We start from the raw sequence: 16494 nt of genomic DNA, 5'->3' as shown, positions 1-16494 counted from the left end.
AAGGGGGTTTGAGAAGGGAGGGAAAGTGGACGAATGTGTTTAGCCCGTCATCTTTAGCAAAGCTGCCAGCACAGGAGGAGCCTGGCAGTCAGTCCCAGGAAGCCCAGACCCCTCAGGAGCATTCCAGGGCCCGGTGCAGAGCCCACCTGCTCTGGGAAGGTTCCGGAACTCATCAGACAGAAGGGGTCTCCCCTTGGCCTGGGTCTCAGGGCCCATTCTGGCCGTTTTGGCCAGACTTCCAGGTGTAGTTTTATCTTCCGCAGAGACTGAGCCCCTGCAGGGCCGGAGTATTAACAGAGACTTTCTGACGGCCTCCCCTCTCCCCACCCTGCCAGCCTCAGCCCCTACTTGGCGGCACACCTGGTGCCTGGTGCCCGGCAGGCTTTGTTGCTGGCTAGAGGTAAAGGGAGGGCACACCAGGAAGCCAACACAGCCATGGCAAAGGCTCGGAGGAAAGGAGCAGAGTGGGAGGGGACATCCCTCTCTGTCATCTCCGGATTTCTTTCCACCTGTTCTTGAAAGTTTCTTGGATTTTTGGAGACAGGGTCTCACTCTGTCACCCAGGCTGGAGTGCAGTGGCACGATCTCGGCTCACTGCAGCTCCGCCTCCCAGGCTCAAGCGATTCTCCCACCTCAGCTCCCCCTACCGGTTCTCGAATCTTATTCCTGGGTCTGAGGCCCCAGGGTGGTTGAAAGTTCAGGAAGGCTGGGATGGGGACGTTAGCTGCAGGCCACCGCACTGAAGAGGCTGATTTAGGCCCCGCTGGTCCCCCCGACTCACAGCCACCCTCCTGATGAGGTGCAGCAGGCATGAACCCTTGGGCCCACCATCCTTTCAGGGGGCTGTGGAAATATTTTACCTTTAAAACAGAAGAAAATGAACTTTTACTCAAAGAGAAATTTTAATGTATTAATATATTTATCTTTCTACCAATAGTCATAAAGTATAATTTTAATTTTTTTTTTGCAGAAGAGGCCCATGAAAGTCACAATGCATCCATGCCCCATGCCCAGGGCCACCCACATCTCGGGCCACACCTGATGGAAGGTTGGAGTCCTTCTCTCAGAATAGCTGGGCCCAGTGTCACAAACACTGCCCCGTGCAGGGTGCTGGGACCTAGAGAACATGGGTCCTAACCAGGAACCCCAGAGTCACTGCAGACCAAGTTCCAAGAGCCCTGAGCTCACCAGAACAGAGGACAGCCTTGGGGGATAAGTCCCTGGAAAGAAGATGAGAGTGAGCTGGGTCCTGAAGGATGGGCCATTCTAGGTGAGGGAAGCCTCAGTGGACACAGATGCATGAGGGAGGGGGTCTGCCCAGTCCCGGGGAGGGGGCGGGGCCTGGCCTGGCACGAGAAGATCCCAGTGCACAAGTCAGACCAGGCGACAAAACCCCAGGATGATCTCAGCTCCCAGAGGGCCCCTTGGTGTAGGCGCTTCCTTCCTACCCTGGGGTCAGGCTGCCCAGGAGGTTTAGTTGGCACTGAGGGATGGCTGTCAAATCGCTTGCAGGCCTGGAAGGGTCTCTGAAAATCAGGAGGAAACTTCATGACACATGAAGAAAAGTCCAGAGTTTAAATCTTTGCTCCTGTGTGATCTTGGGCAACTTTCTAAACCTCTCTGAGGCCACGGATACCAACTCTTTGCCAGGTTAAATGAGATATTACACGTCAGCTACATACCTGGAACGTAGTTAGAACTCCTTTTTTTTTTTCTTTTTTTTGAGACGGAGTCTCGCTCTGTTGCCCAGGCTGGAGTATAGTGGCACAATCTCCACTCACTGCAACCTCCGCCTCCAGGGTGCAAGTGATTCTCCTGCCTCAGCCTCCTGAGTAGCTGGGACTACAGGCATGCACCACAACGCCTGGCTACTTTTTTGTATTTTTAGTAGAGATGGGATTTTACCATGTTGGCCAGGCTGGTCTCAAACTCCTGACCTCAGGTGATCCACCTGCCTTGGCCTCCCAAAGTGCTGGGATTATAGGCGTGAGCCACCGTGCCCAGCCAGAACCTACTAGTTATTTTTATTTTTTTAAAAAGCTGAGCTGTAAACCTTCATTTGAAGATGAGATGGGGATCAAAGAGATTTATGGGCCAAGGTCGCCCAGGGGCACCCGGGAGGTGGGACTTACAGAAGCACCAGGTCAGGAAAGGTCACGTGGTCTTGGGGCAGGCTGGAAGATGGGAGGCTGTCAGCCCCACCTCCTATCAAGCCAAGGACTCTGTATCTTCACTACCACCCCCTCTTCATGGCCAAAGGACTGTGCTGTAGAGCCAGGCTCCCCGGCCCATGTGATGCCCAGTGTGTGCGGTGGCTGCTCACACCTGTGATGTCAGGGTGGTGGTGGGGAAGGGGGCCCACCACCCACAGGGAGCCGCTTACATGTGACAGCACGCACGCTTAGAAAGCCCTTTCTGATACGGAGCTGAACTGTCTCCCAGTCACTCTGCCCAAGCTCCTTAACTGGTCTGTGCTTGCTTTTCCACATCTGTAAAATGGGCGCCAGCAGTAGGACCCAGCGAACCTTCAGACACAAATCGCTGCCCTTCAGGGGCTGGGTGAGGGCCGCGGGAGTGAAGGCTTTGCAAGCTCCCAGCAAGGCACCTGGCCCTGAGCAGTGGAGAGTTTCATTAGGATCACCTGGGCCCGGCAGCCGGGGACCTGCTGGGGTTTCCTGTGAAGCGCAGATCTATAAACCTACAGGATTGACACAGCTCTTCCTGAAGCATCAATTTATTTGATGAGTAATTTCAAAATGTTACTTTTGAAAAGATAATGCTATTTTTGTACTAAAATGGAACACAAGAATTTGACTGCAAAATTCACCTGTTCAAAATAAATGAGACATGTAATTTCTTACAAACCCCAAAACTCGGGGGGTCCTAGGGTGGGGGTAGTTTTCTGCAGGGCGATGACATATCCTGCAGCGAAGTCTCAGAAACCCTGCTCTGGGCAGTCCATCTATTTGTCCACTCATGTTCTTAGACACATCCCAGGGGCTGGCCCTGAGCTACTGGGATGACTGGAGGAGCATCCAGGGCTGGGGGAGGGGAGTGACTCCCACACAGCAGGTACCCGGAGGTAGGAGGCTGGATCCACGGAAGGTTCTGATGTCAGCACTGTCTGTACCACAAGATGGCTTTACTGAAATGCCGAGTGCAGGAGCTTAATCATGGCGCATGTGGAAACCAGCCATGGGCTCTCAGGCCCACTCCTGCCCTGCCCTGGCCCCTCTGTGATGGGAGAACCAGGACAAGAAGGGGCTGGATCAGGTGACTGGTCACACAACCTGGGGTCCTTTCACCTTTCTGGGGGTCCCTGAAGGTAGGAATGGAGTCTGTGAACTGGTGTCAGTATTTCTCAAAGCCAGCTGTCAGACACTGTGTCTGTCCCTGACGCGGCCGCCCAGGCTCGTGGAATGCCAAGCGCCTGTCTCTGCTCGGGGCTGACATCACCTCCGCGTGGGAACAGAGCCTGTGCTCATGCCGAGCTCATCGGGATTGGCAGAAATCTGCATCCTTGTTTGGTTTCAAAACAGGGGGCCCAGAAGGAAGACTCATGAAAGATGCCCTTGTCGGCGGAAATTTCAGGAGCTTGGCCCACAGCCCCTGTCTGCACTTCGGCTGTGAAGAGGCCAGAACCACGCCCGCTGCCCAAGAGCTAGGCTCTGATGAGGCTGCAGGTAGCATCGACCCGGTACCTGCTTCCACCAGGGCCCAGGCTGAGCCCTCATGGCACAAGGGTGCCCATAGGCGTGTGGTGGATGGGTGGACATCTCGGCTAACGCTCCCGTCACCTGTACCTGTCTCCCCATCAGTAGGGCAGGGGCAGCTCTCACTTCTCACGGCTATGGCCACTCGATGTGTTCAGCAATCTAAGTGGGTCGTCGCCTCATTTTGTACATGAAAAACCAGCCCAAGTTACTGCCCAAGGTCACACGGCCATTCCCTCTGTCCCTTCCTCCCTGACTCATGCCATGCTTGTGTGAGGGGCTGCTGCGTGCCTGGCTGGGACCTAGTGGAATAAGAGAGAAAGCCCTTGCTCCCGTGGAGCAGGCGAGAGGCGACACGGATACAGGCTGAGAGTGAGTGACCCATGGAGGAAACAACAGGGAGACGGGCAGGGGGCGGTGGGGTGGGGGCCAGGGAAGGGCTCTTTCCAGAGGGGGCATCTGTGCTAAGACCTGAGGGACAAGAAGGAACTAGCCCCGCAAACAACACAATCGGGTGCTTTTCCCTTTGATGTCTGAGCAGCCTGGAGTCGCTCCAGACAGGCCCGGCTGCCCCCACTGCCACTGGCAGGAACATCCCGACACGGGCATCGTGGGGAGCCTGCTCTGCAGCTCCGCTCCTGGCTCTGCTGCCAGCTCCCAGCTCATGAGAGAATGAGACGACCAGACCAGGACGGTACAACTCCTAGTGAGGATGGCTCACGGGTGCTGCGGCGCCCTCAGACCACCTGCCCCCGTCCTGGGACAACGGGATTTCTGAGGGCCAGGACCTCCGTCAAGCCAGCAACCTAGCTGGGTTTTGGGAGAGACTGATGTCTTTTTTTTTTTTCTTGAGACAGGGTCTCGCTCTGTCGCCCAGGCTCTGGAGTGCAGTGGTGCTATCTTGGCTCACTGCAAGCTCCGCCTCCCAGGTTCACGCTATTCTCCTGCCTCAGCCTCCAGAGTAGCTGGGACTACAGGTGCCCACCACCACATCCGGCTAACTTTTTTTATTTTTAGTAGAGACAGGGTTTCACCGTGTTAGCCAGGATGGTCTCGATCTCCTGACCTCATGATCTGCCTGCCTTGGCCTCTGAAAGTGCTGGGATTACAGGCCTGAGCCACCGCGCCCGGCCGAGACTGATGTCTTTAAGGAATGAGTGGGCAGGAGGTGGGGGATGGGCTTCTCTGGTTCCATCTGATCCTGCCTCAGTGCTTTCCCCACGGAGGCTATGGGAGGCAGACAGGCTGGAGAGGGCCACTTTGGCCCACCTTGTGTCAGACGCCACCTGGGGACGTGGACGGTGGCAGTGACCCACCAGGGCTGCACAGCTTCGCCTCGCTGTGCCATTCACTTTCCTTACCTTGACTCCTGGCCCCTTAAGTCCTCAAACCCATTCCCGAGCTTCCCCTCTTAGATGAAACAGTGTCCCTCTCACCTTCATTTCCCTCCAGGAGACAGGCTCAAGTGCAGTAAGTAACACCAAGGCTGGGGACAGGGGACATAAAGTCAACAGTGCAGCGCCCGGCCCCACACGCTTAGGGCAGAGCAGGTGCTGGGAGAGACCTGGGGCCCAGAGTTGCATGGTGGCCACTTGTGACCAGGACTGTGCCTGAACCTGTCTGTGCCTCAGTTACTCACCATGTCTCTCTCTCTCTCTCGGGTGGCAGGGCTGACACCAAAGCTCCAGGAGTGTTCAGGGGCCATGGTGGTCCTCAGGACCCCTGGCGGCTCGGCTGGGGAAGCTGAGAAGGACAGATCCTGGAAGGAAGCTCCGCAGGCACAGCCCCTGCCCAGCAGAGTGGAGGGGGGGACATCCGGGACCCTCTGACCACACCAGACAGAGAGTGGCTTTGTTCCTAAGCAGATGCACTGTTTCGGTTTCTGTTGCAGAGGCTCTTCTTAGAGGGATGAGTTCTTACGTCCCAGAAAGCAGGATGAAGTGCTCTATGGACTGGTATTTATAGAAGATCCTTCCCCAAAGCAAAACCCAGTAAAGCAAACTAGCTGGCAAGAGGGCAAGGCCTCCGCCCTGGTGACCTGAGCACCGGGTGGCCACAGCACCACTCACACACCAAGACCCTAGGCTCACTCTCAGCAGAGTGGAGTTGGCACCACAACCCTGCCACTGGCCATGGGCCAGAGGGCTTGGCCTGCAGCAGGGAAAACTGTCACCCCCTTCAGATGTGCATGAACACATCTGGGTCCGAGAGTGGGCCTGGGAGGTAACAGGCAAGCCATGTTTCCCCGGGGCTGTGGGGGCGGCAGCATGGAATGCAGCCAGAAGGCCTGGGTTCAAATCCCAGCCCTGCCACTTAGCAGCCTGGCGAGCCGAGTTCTTGAACCTCCAGGGCAGTGAAGAGGGGAGGCGTCCACTTCCCAGGGCCACTGCGAGTTACAGGAAACATGAGCAACAGCGCTATTAATATCACAATGTGTAATGCCACCATTTATTACTTCTTTACTACATTAAAAAAGTGACCCTGTTTCTAGAGACCAAACAGCACCACAGAGGCATTCTTGGAAGAGAATTCCTTTTGTTCCCAAGCCTTTGTGACTGACTTTAAATCCTCTCACCTGCAGAACAGAGATGGCTTCAAAGTGGGGAGTGAGGGAGTGAGCGAGGACCCTGGGCTGAGACCTGTTTTTCTTCCATTTCTGCTGTGGCTTCCCACAGCTCCCTGGTTCCACACCAGGCCCTGCTCTGCCGCAGGAAAATGGATTCCCAGGCCACAGAGCTGTCAGGCCTTTGACTTCGCAGAGACCAAGCACCCCAGAGGCTGTGCGACAGCGGCTAGTCCCTGGTGGGCCGGTCTGGGGCATGGGGGGCAGGGAGACTGGGAGATGGGGAGGGCGTGGAGAATCCGGGGGGTCCTGGATACTGACAAAATGGCTCAGGTCTGAGCTCTGGCTGCCCCACTGATTGTGTGGCTTGGCCAAGGTGCAAGTCTCTCGGCCTGCTTCCTCTGAAACAGGAGTGGCAATCCTGGCCGACAGCCCTGGTGGCACCCCCTCCCCACTGAAGGCAGAGAACATGTGGGAAATAGTCTAACTCAGGCCCTGGGCTGGGCTGGCCCGACCCTTCTCCTATGCCTCCCAGGGTACTGTGTCTCAAAGAACCTCTTCCCTCCTGGAACCATTTTCCACTCCTCTTTCTTTCAAACAAGTCCCCCAGCCTGACTCACAACCCCTGCTTGCTACCCTCAGCCGGCAGAGGCCCCTCATCAGTGGTAAAGACAGTTCATCTCAGCTGCCTGCCAGCCTATGGTCTTCACAGCACCAGAAGGAAAATGCAAGGCAGGCACCAGCTCACCCTGGCTCAGGCCTGACGACAGCGGCCCCTGCCTCAGCCCACCGGGGCCAGTCCTCACCTCTCCCGCACGCCTGGCTCTGGGGAAGCCCAGGCCGCCATCCTCTGGCAGTTCCAGGTCTCTTAGACCACTTCCCCCTGGCTCCTTTCCACCTGGCCTGCCCCTTCTGTGGCCATCCCAGGCCCCAGATGCTGCCCTGGTCCTCCTGAACGTTTACAACAGATGACACAACCAAGGCAGGTCCAGGGGTGGGGCCCAGGGACAGATGCGGACACCAGCCTGGGTTCCACTCTGGATGCAGGAGCACAGGGCTGAGAGGCTGGAGAAGTGGAGGGCTACTGTCCCGAGGTGAGGGAGGTGATGGTGGGAGGAGGGGTGGGCTTGGGACAGCAGGGTCTGCTGGGCCTGCAACACTCAGGGTTCACAGGGCGCCTCTTCCTGCTCTGTAGGAGGCTGCTGGGGAGGCTCGGGCGGCTTGCAGGCCCACTGCGGTTTCTATACCTGGCCCTCTGCTCTGAGAAAGGGCGATGGTCCTGGCTGAGGCCATCTGGGAGGAAGTGGCCTTCAGCTTCCCGGGTGGTGACAAGGTATGAACCACAGGTCCAGTCTGCACTCACACACTCTACTGCCCGGAGAGCCATGGGACAGAGTCTGCTGTGGGCAGAGGATGGGGCACCTGCTGGCCGTTGTGGCACAGGCAGATGTTAGGAAAAGGCTGGACCCTGTCCTGCCCCATGCCAGGCCCTGCTTGGGCTGCATTCTCCGGCTGCCCTACGGTGCTGTCACCACGCTCTGCTCGCCATGGTCCACGCTCCAGAGGCGGTAAAACTCAGCAAAGTCCACATAGGGCTCAACACGACCGTCCTCGCCAGGCGGGAGCGAGTGGGCGGGCCGGGAGCGGAAGAGGCCTCCGTCAGAGCTGGAGCTGCTGCTCTGCGTGTGCGTGTTGGTGGACTGCAGGGTTAAGGTCGGGCTTTGGCTGCAGGACAACAGGGGAGGGAGTCAATCAGAAGCAGCCGGGTCAAGGGGCCTGGGGCAGAGTGGGGACAGAATGGCCCCTGCCTCTACCAGCCTCTTGGGCCACAGGCCTTTCTGGCAGAGGTGACCATAGGAGCTGGCCCAGCCAGATGATCTTAGGAACAGATAAAAAGTCAAATTTTAAAGCACCAGATGCATGTGGCTACTTAAATGAACTAAAGGTAAAGAAAATGGGGCTGGGCGCGGTGGCTCATGCCTGTAATCCCAGCACTTTGGGAGGCCAAGACGGGTGGATCACCTGAGGTCAGGAGTTCGAGATCAGCCTGGCCAACACGGTGAAACCCCATCTCTACTAAAAATACAAAAAAAATTTACCCAGGCATGGTGGCGTGTGCCTGTAATCCCAGCTGCTCGGGAGGTTGAGGCAGGAGAATTGGTTGAACCTGGGAGGCAGAGGTTGCAGTGGGCCAAGATTTTGCCATTGCACTCCAGCCTGGGCAACAAGAGTGAAACTCCGTCTCAAAAAAATGGAAAGAAAATGGAACACTCAGTTCAAGCGTCTAATAGCCACAAGTGGCTAGAGACGCCGTGACAGGACAGCACCCACGCGAGCACTCCCGTCATCACAGGAAGTTCCTCGGGTGAAGCTGAACCACCGACTGTCCATTACCATCTCTCTAAACCCGTCCCAACCCAGGACCTACTCAGCAGGGCGGGCAAGGTGTCTTCTTCTAGAAAACCTTCCTTCGCCCCCCTCCCCTTCAATCTCTTCTCATCAGCTGGGTGGGGACGGGCACCCACCTTCTATCACAGCTGGAACTGCCTGTTAGCGCTGCCCAGCACCAGCACAGGGCCAGCCCATGGTGGGACCAACTATGGCTCAGACGCTGAAAGGAGTGAGGAACACAGGCAGGGGAGGAGAGTGGGTTGTCCTGCCTTGTCTAGGGCCACAGCGCTCACACTCTGCTTTGTGGACACAGCTGGAGGACTCCTCCAGGCAGCCCGGCAGGGGTGCTGGAGAGGCCACCCCTACTGCACTCAGGATGCCCAAGGAGCTTGCTCGGCCTGGCAGGCCTTTCTAGCCCCGTGGCAGCAGTCGCAGCATCCACAACCCAGAGGCAGAGGGAAAGGAAGGCCCCCTGATGGGGCAGAGGCATGCAGGCCGCCCACCCCCCTCCAGGGCCTTTCTAATTGGCCACATCCTGCGCACTCCATCCTCAGAGTGGGCTGGGTGTGGCATCTCTATCATTCCATGCAGGGCTGGAATGTGGAAACCAGATCTGGGTCCCCTGGTGTGGGGAGTGCACATTCTAAGGAAGTGAAGGGGGTGGGGTGTACTCCAGACCTGTCAGGCAGGTCTGCGGCTGGAGGGGGCCTGGCCGCATCCCCCTCAGGCTGTTGCCTCTACCTCGCCCCCTGCCCCAAAACCAGAGAACTCACTTCAAAGCTAAAATCAAGCACATTAGCCAGAAAGCATGGGCTCTGACAAGCCAGTACAGGCCAGACAATGTCCTCAAGCAAGGACACCACAGGAAGCCACCCCACATCACACCGAGGTGAGGAATGAAAGGAAACCTTCCACTGAATGAAACCAGCAGATGGGCCCACAAGAAAATACGAGAAGTAGGCTGGGACCATCAGCCACCTGACCAAAAATCGCACCTGCCTCAGTTTCTAGGGAGACCTCCCTCACCAGGCACGGAGCTGGGGAATTCCAGACCCCAGGGCATCTCATCCACAAGCCTTGGCCCCATGGCCATTTCTGTCCTGGTGCCACAGGACACACACGGGGGTGACAGGGCTGGGGGTGGCTCAGTGGGGAAGGGACTTACTTGGTGAGGGTGGGGGTGGCTTCGTCCAGGGTGGAAGCACTGTGAGCCCCGTTGACCATCTGGCCCTGGGAGGGCATGACAAGGGAGAGGGTCACGCTGGTCTTGCTGGTGCTCTGGGCGCTGGAGTATGGCACAGACACAGGGTACACTCGTCCTCCTGCAGCTTTGGGAGGAAGAGAGTGGGGGCCTCAGGCAGCAGCTGAGGAGAAACCCAGGGTAGCAGGGGCATAGCTGCTCCATGGCCTGATGGGGTGGTGCCTGAGGGCTGAGTGTGGGTGGCGGCCATGCCTGGCTCCCCAAGCCCAGTGGGGCCCCCTGCCCCTTGGGACAGCTCAGGAGGAGTGTCCCTTGTCAGAGACTCTTCCAGGCCGGGCTGAGAACTCCTTATAGCAGTAAATCCTGCTGGTGCTCGAGTTGCCTCAAGGAAAGGGTTACTGCCTGGCTTCCCATGGATGCTTTAATTCAGAGGATAAGTTTGCTCCCAGTTGAGGCTGACCCAATAAAAATATGGTTGCAATAAAAACAGGCCAGAGAAACTCCAATAACCCTGGTGTCCATGGGAGAACAAATCTGTCTGTGGATGCCTGAGCTTTATCTAAGATTTGCTTGTTTAAAGCAAAGAAAAAGAAATGCAGCCCTCAGGAACCGAAGGTCTTAGTGCTGAGCAGCACTGGGGGGAGCACGGGAAAGAGCAGCCACCTCTTTTCCTGAGAACTTGGTTGAAGAATGACATAGGTAAAAAGCAAAACGTCCTTCTCCCTGCCCTGCTCCAGTGCAGCCCAGGGACAGACAGGCCTTGGGGCCTGACCATCTGTCCACATGCCTAATCTCTTCCAGGTCCCTTCATTCTTCAGCCTCAGTTTCCCTCTCTGGAAAACAGGGGTACCACCTGTCTTTAGGGTTGCCCATGAGGACTGAAGGGAATAAGGCAGGCTGTGTGCCTGGCACAAGGGAGGCACTCAATCAGTGGTGGCCATCATCTCTATTATGTGGCTTCAGGGCTCTGTGAATTGCTTGCTGGGGCACTCAGGTTCTGGGAGGTTGCCGGGGCAGGTGGTATTAACCTCATTTTACAGACAAAAGAGCAAAAATCAACACTCAGCTCAGAGAGGCTAAAAATCAGAGAACCTGAATTAGAGCCACTCAGAGCCAGGCCTCCTGACTCCATCTCCGTTTCAAGCAGCCTCGGGGGCTCTGCACCCACCTCTGGCCCCCAGATGGCATCCCCAGGCACTGCCTGTCTGCACAGCACACGTACCTGGGGCTGGGCTCGGTGTGGGCTGGCTCATTTCGCCCAGCGGGTAGCCAAAGTTCCTCACTAGCAGGGTCATGTCCTCGTGCCGGGGGCAGAACCTGGCACGCTCCCCACCACTGGCGAAGGTGTCGCTGTGGATGCGCTTCACCCGGTCCACGACGGCCTGGGCCACTGCGTCCAGGGAGGTCTGCTTGGCAAACTCAGTGTCAATCATCGCAGCAATCTCCTGGGGGAGGGGGTAGGAAGAACCTGGTAAGGAACGAGGTGCGGCCTGGGGGGCATGGGCCATAATCTTGGAGCCTAAAATCAGGAGATTCAGTGGTCAACAGCCCAGCAGGTGAAGGAAATGCCTGCCAGCCAAGTTTGCAATCTGAGCCTTTCAAGGTATTCAGGATAATCCTTCTGGAACTTTCTCATTAGGAAGTGTGTGCTCTTGTGATTGCTCTAATTGTTGGGTGCACACCTCTAGGATGGGGAGAACATCCATTTGACTGGGTGAATACGAGTATTAACTAACAGTGGTGTGAGAGCACTCTGCCAGCCACTAAAAAGCCTAGTAGCAAGTGTCATTATTATGAAACACTCTTTCCTGGAACAAACTTGTTGTAGGCGATGTTATACATGCTAGGATTTTGTCAGGAACTGGGGATACAGAATGAAAACAGGGTCCCTGACCTCAGAGAAGTCCCTGTCTAGTATACAGATGTTCCTCAATTTAGGATGGGACTATGTCCTGACAAACCCACTGTAAGTTGAAAATATCATAAGTTGACCGGGCACAGTGGCTTGCGCCTGTAATCCCAGCACTTTGGGAGGCTGAGGTGGGAGGACTGCCAGAGGTCAGGAGATCGAGACCAGCTTGGCCAACATGTTGAAACCCCGTCTCTACTTAAAAATACAAAAATTAGCTGGGCATGGTGGCACATGCCTGTAATCCCAGCAACTTGAGAGGCTGAGGCAGGAGAATTGCTTGAGCCCAGGAGACGGAGGTTGCAGGGAGCCGAGACCAGCCTGGCCAACAGGGCAAGACTCTGTCTCAAAAAAAAAAAAAAAAAGAAAATATCGTAAGTTGAAAAAGCATTTGGCCGGGCGTGGTGGCTCACACCTGTAATCTCAGCACTTTGGGATTCTGAGGCAGGCCGATCATGAGGTCAGGAGATCGAGACCATCCTGGCTAATACGGTGAAACCCCATCTCTACTAAAAATACAAAAAATTAGCCGGGCGTGGTGGCGGGTGCCTGTAGTCCCAGCTACTCGGGAGGCTGAGGCAGAATGGCGTGAACCCGGGAGGTGATCAGTAAGCCCAGATCGAGCCACTGCACTCCAGCCTGGGTGACAGAGCGAGACTCCATCTCAAAAAAAAAAAAAGAAAAGAAAAAGCATTTAATGCACCTAATCTACTGAACATCATCACTTAGCCTAGCCTACCTTAAATGTGCTCAGAACACTTCTATTAGCCTACGGCTGGGCAAAATCATCTAGCACAAAGCCTATTTTCATTATTATATAAGAAAATGTTGAATCCCATGTAATTTTTTTTTTTTTGAGACAGAGTCTCACTGTGTTGACCAGGCTGGAGTGCAGTGCTGTGATCTCAGCTCACTGCAAGTTCCATCTCCCAGGTTCAAGAATTCTCCCGCCTCAGCCTCCCGAGTAGCTAGGATTACAGGCGTGCGTCACTATGCACCAGATAATTTTTTTTTTTTTTTGTATTTTTAGTAGAGATGGGGTTTCACCGTATTAGCCAGGATGGTCTCGATCTCCTGACCTAAAGTGATCTTCCCGCCTCAGCCTCCCAAAGTGCTGGGATTACAGGCGTGAGCCACCACGCCCAGCCGAATCTCATGTAATTTATTGAGTACTGTTTTGACAGTGAAAAACAGAATGGTTGTAGGGGTATGGGAGCACAGTTCCCACTGAATATGTATCACTTTCTCACCATCATAAAGTTTCTTTTGGGCGGGGCAGGAGGGCAGGGACAGGTAATAGGAAATGACCTGCACCTGGTCCTGGTGGGCTCAGTTTCAACACTAAGCAGCAACGTCACTTCTGGCAAGAACCTGAACTCCGTGGACCCCAAATTCCCTACTCTACCTGGAAATAAGCCCCTGTCCCTCTATGTTATAAGGCTACTGGAAGGAATGGTAAGCTTATATAACAGGTAAAGAAATCAGAACACAGGCTGGGCGCAGTGGCTCATGTCTATAATCCCAGAACTTTGGGAGGCCAAGGCAGGTGGATCATCTGAGGTTACGAGTTCAAGATAAGCCTGGCCAAAAAGGCAAAACCCCATCTCTACTAAAAATACAAAAATTAGCCGGGTGTGGTGGTGGCACATGCCTGTAGTCCCAGCTACTCAGGAGGCTGAGGCAGAAGAATGACTTGAACCCGGGAGGTGGAGGTTACAGTGAGCCGAGATTGCACCACTGCACTCCAGCTTGGCCAACAGAGCAAGACTCCATCTCAAAAAAAAAAAAAAAAAAAAAAAAGAAATCAGAACACAGGGAACAGGGGATAGTTAGGCACTTGAGACTTTTTCGAAGTAGATCTGCATTCAATCCAGCAGTCTGGGCATCTACCTAAAGGAAAATAAGTCATTATATGAAAAAGATACTTGCACACGTATGTTTATAGCAGCACAATTCACAATTGCAAAGATGTGGAACCAGCCTAAGTGGCCATTGACTAATGAGCAGATAAAGAAAATGTATCTATAAACTATGGAATACTACTCAGCCAGTAAAAGGAAAGAATGAATGTCTTTTGCAGCAACTTGGATGGAGATGAAGGCCATTATTCTAAGTAACACAGGAGTGGAAAACCACAAACTATGTTCTCACTCGTAAGTGGGAGCTAAATGATGGGAATGCACAGGCATACAGAGTGATATAATGGAACTTTAGAGACTCAAGGCGGGAGGATGGCAGTGGTGCTAGGGATAAAACACTATACATTAGTTACAATGTACACTATAAAACACTATACATTAGTTACAACGTACACTATAAAACACTATACATTAGTTACAATGTACACTATAAAACACTATACATTAGTTACAATGTACACTATAAAACACTATACATTAGTTACAATGTACACTATAAAACACTATACATTAGTTACAATGTACACTATAAAACACTATACATTACTTACAATGTACACTACTGGAATAACTGGTTTACTAAGATCTCAGAATTCACCACTACATAATTCATCCCTATAACAAAAAAATACTGGTACCTCAAAAGCTACTGAAATAAAAATTAATTTTCAAATTTTAAAGAAGACTTTTTCCTCATGATATTGATTGATTGATTGAGACAGAGTCTTGCTCTGTTGCTCAGGCTGGAGTGCAGTGGTGCGATCTTGGCTCACTGCAACCTCCACCTCCCGGGTTCAAGCGATTCTCCTGCCTCAGCCTCCTGAGTAGCTGGGATTACAGGTGCCTGCCACCACACCCGGCTAATTTTTGTATTTTTAGTAGAGACGGGGCTTCACCATGTTGGCCAGGCTGGTCTCGAACTCCTGACCTCAAGTGATCCGCCTGCCTCGGCTTCCCAAAGTCCTGGGATTACAAGCATGAGCCACTGTGCCCGGCCAATACATGATTTTTAATTAAAAAGGACAAAGCAGGCTGGGCACAGTGGCTCATGCCTACAATCCCAGCATCTTGGGAGGCCAAGGTAGGAGGATCACTTGAGACCAGGAGTTTGAGATTAACCTGGGCGATACAGTGAGACCCTGTCTCTACCAAAAAAACAAAACAAAGAAAACAACCAAAATTAGCCAGGTGTGGTGGCACACACCTATAGTTCCAGCTACTCAGGAGGCTAAGGCTGGAGGATCGGTTGAACCCAGAAGGTTGAGGGTGCAGTGACCCGTGATCACGCCACTGCACTCCAGTCTGGGTGACACAGCAAGTCTTAAAAAAAAAAAAAAAAAAGTCAAAGCAGAAAAGGTTATCTTCCTACAAGAATCACAGAAAGGAGGAGGAACACAAACTGAACTTATCTTAGCCAGTCAGCAATCCAAGGAGGTCAGGGAAAGACAGTTTTCCTTTGAGACCATCCCTAACGTGACTGTCTTGAAGTCACACTTTGGTGACTCCAAGGTATAAGAAAAATAAGCAACTCTTGGCTGAGGGCCTGTGTCTACCACGCCTAACCTCACTGCGATCTCACAAAGGCAGATGTTACCATCCTCACTGTAGAAATGAGAAGTGAACTGCCGGGCGCGGTGGCTCACGCCTGTAATCCCAGCACTTTGGGAGGCTGAGGTGGGTGGATCACAAGGTCAGGAGTTGGAGACCAGCCTGGTGAAACCCTGTCTCTACTAAAAATACAAAAATTAGCTGGGCGTGGTGGCAGACACCTGTAATCCCAGCTACTTGGGAGGCTGAGGCAGAGAACTGCTTGAACCCGGGAGGCGGAGATTGCAGTGAGCCGAGATCATGCCACTGTACTCTAGCCTGCGTGACAGAGGGAGACGCTGTCTCAAAAAAAAAAAAAAAAAAAAAAAAAAGAAATGAGAAGCAAACTATAAATTGTCTGCCACTCAGGGAGGGCAGTAAAGCCGTCAGGCCCTTGGCAGGAAGTGATGGGTGTGGGAAGGACTCTGCACATCTCTTTCTGTGCTCTCCTCCTGGCCCTGGCCCCTTCCTGGCCGTCTCAGAGTAATGCCGTGCCCATAGCAATTCACATCCATCTCCCCCTCTTCCCTTCAGACCTTGCTCAGGCCCTGAGGACTGGCACTGCTTCAAGCCTAAAATGAGTCAAGTTTTTGGGTGGGATGGGTGTTTTCAGAGCTCTGGGATTCTCCTTCCCCCAGCTTTGAACCCAGAGATGTCTGGTGACGGCCTCCGAGAATCACAGTGCTAGAAGGCAGGGTGAGCACATCACCATGCAGGCCAGCCACGCTCTCCGGCCATGGGCGTGGCTGGGCCCAACTCACCTGGTTGGCCTGCCCAGGCCCATGGGCTGCCTCTAGGGCCTTGTACAACCCCTCCGACATCAGCACCAAGAAGCCCGTCACCCCATCCAGCGGCTGTGCCCCATGGATTTCTGGCTCTGCGATGATTGGTTTGGACTTGGCAGCGCTATGGGGAGAGAGTGGAAGGAAGAGCTTTGCTTGGAACAGCCCGCAGGTGGATGCTGATTCTGCTGAGGGGAGGAATCTATGCCCAGAATGTAAAATAAAACACACAACCTGACAAGAGGAAAAGAAAAGAGAGAAAGAGAAGGTCAGAAAAATAGACCCATCGTCTTACAGCAGCTGCTAAAATAAAGCTTGGAAGGCCATAAAAACTGGCAGGCAGCTGAGGTCAGGATGGCAAAGGTTGAATGCCCGATTCTGGCCTGTTCCATACGTCCTGTTCACAGGGTCCGGTGGTGGCAGGGCAGG

General features: G+C 54.0%; 1 protein-coding gene and 1 long non-coding RNA gene across 3 annotated transcripts in view, besides 3 other annotated features; both read right to left on the bottom strand.

Annotated features, from left to right (window-relative positions):
* TAB1 (TGF-beta activated kinase 1 (MAP3K7) binding protein 1) overlaps positions 884 to 16494 on the bottom strand; it is a 37353-nt gene continuing 21742 nt past the window's right edge. The window contains exons 8-11 of one of the 2 annotated variants that reach the window (NM_153497.3): positions 16045 to 16189; positions 11091 to 11313; positions 9833 to 9995; positions 884 to 1526 (exon numbers count right to left, since the gene is read on the bottom strand). In NM_153497.3, the coding sequence (NP_705717.1) occupies positions 1445 to 1526; positions 9833 to 9995; positions 11091 to 11313; positions 16045 to 16189 (613 nt within the window). In that variant the 3' untranslated portion in view covers positions 884 to 1444. Of the gene's footprint in view, positions 1527 to 6133; positions 8002 to 9832; positions 9996 to 11090; positions 11314 to 16044; positions 16190 to 16494 lie in introns of those variants that run through there. The other variant, NM_006116.3, reaches the window with a different exon arrangement.
* Positions 888 to 5856, bottom strand: LOC100506472 (uncharacterized). The gene is made up of 4 exons (NR_040535.1): positions 5353 to 5856; positions 5150 to 5199; positions 4780 to 4787; positions 888 to 3891 (listed from the first exon to the last, which is right to left on the bottom strand). It is a non-coding gene; the product is annotated as an uncharacterized LOC100506472 (long non-coding RNA).
* Positions 3067 to 3784: an enhancer, noted in NCBI's record as "H3K4me1 hESC enhancer chr22:39830237-39830954 (GRCh37/hg19 assembly coordinates)". NCBI's record gives its function as "activates a minimal SCP1, AML or CMV promoter by ChIP-STARR-seq in primed H9 embryonic stem cells {active_cell/tissue: H9 hESC(primed)}" and the evidence as "EXISTENCE:reporter gene assay evidence [ECO:0000049][PMID:30033119]".
* Positions 3785 to 4503: an enhancer, noted in NCBI's record as "H3K4me1 hESC enhancer chr22:39829518-39830236 (GRCh37/hg19 assembly coordinates)". NCBI's record gives its function as "activates a minimal SCP1, AML or CMV promoter by ChIP-STARR-seq in naive H9 embryonic stem cells {active_cell/tissue: H9 hESC(naive)}" and the evidence as "EXISTENCE:reporter gene assay evidence [ECO:0000049][PMID:30033119]".
* Positions 8494 to 9136: an enhancer, noted in NCBI's record as "H3K27ac-H3K4me1 hESC enhancer chr22:39824885-39825527 (GRCh37/hg19 assembly coordinates)". NCBI's record gives its function as "activates a minimal SCP1, AML or CMV promoter by ChIP-STARR-seq in naive H9 embryonic stem cells {active_cell/tissue: H9 hESC(naive)}" and the evidence as "EXISTENCE:reporter gene assay evidence [ECO:0000049][PMID:30033119]".

This window comes from Homo sapiens, chromosome 22 (genome assembly GCF_000001405.40).
Source record: "Homo sapiens chromosome 22, GRCh38.p14 Primary Assembly".
In the NCBI taxonomy this organism is placed as follows: Eukaryota; Metazoa; Chordata; class Mammalia; order Primates; family Hominidae; genus Homo; species Homo sapiens.
This window is presented reverse-complemented; position numbering and strand designations above follow the sequence as displayed.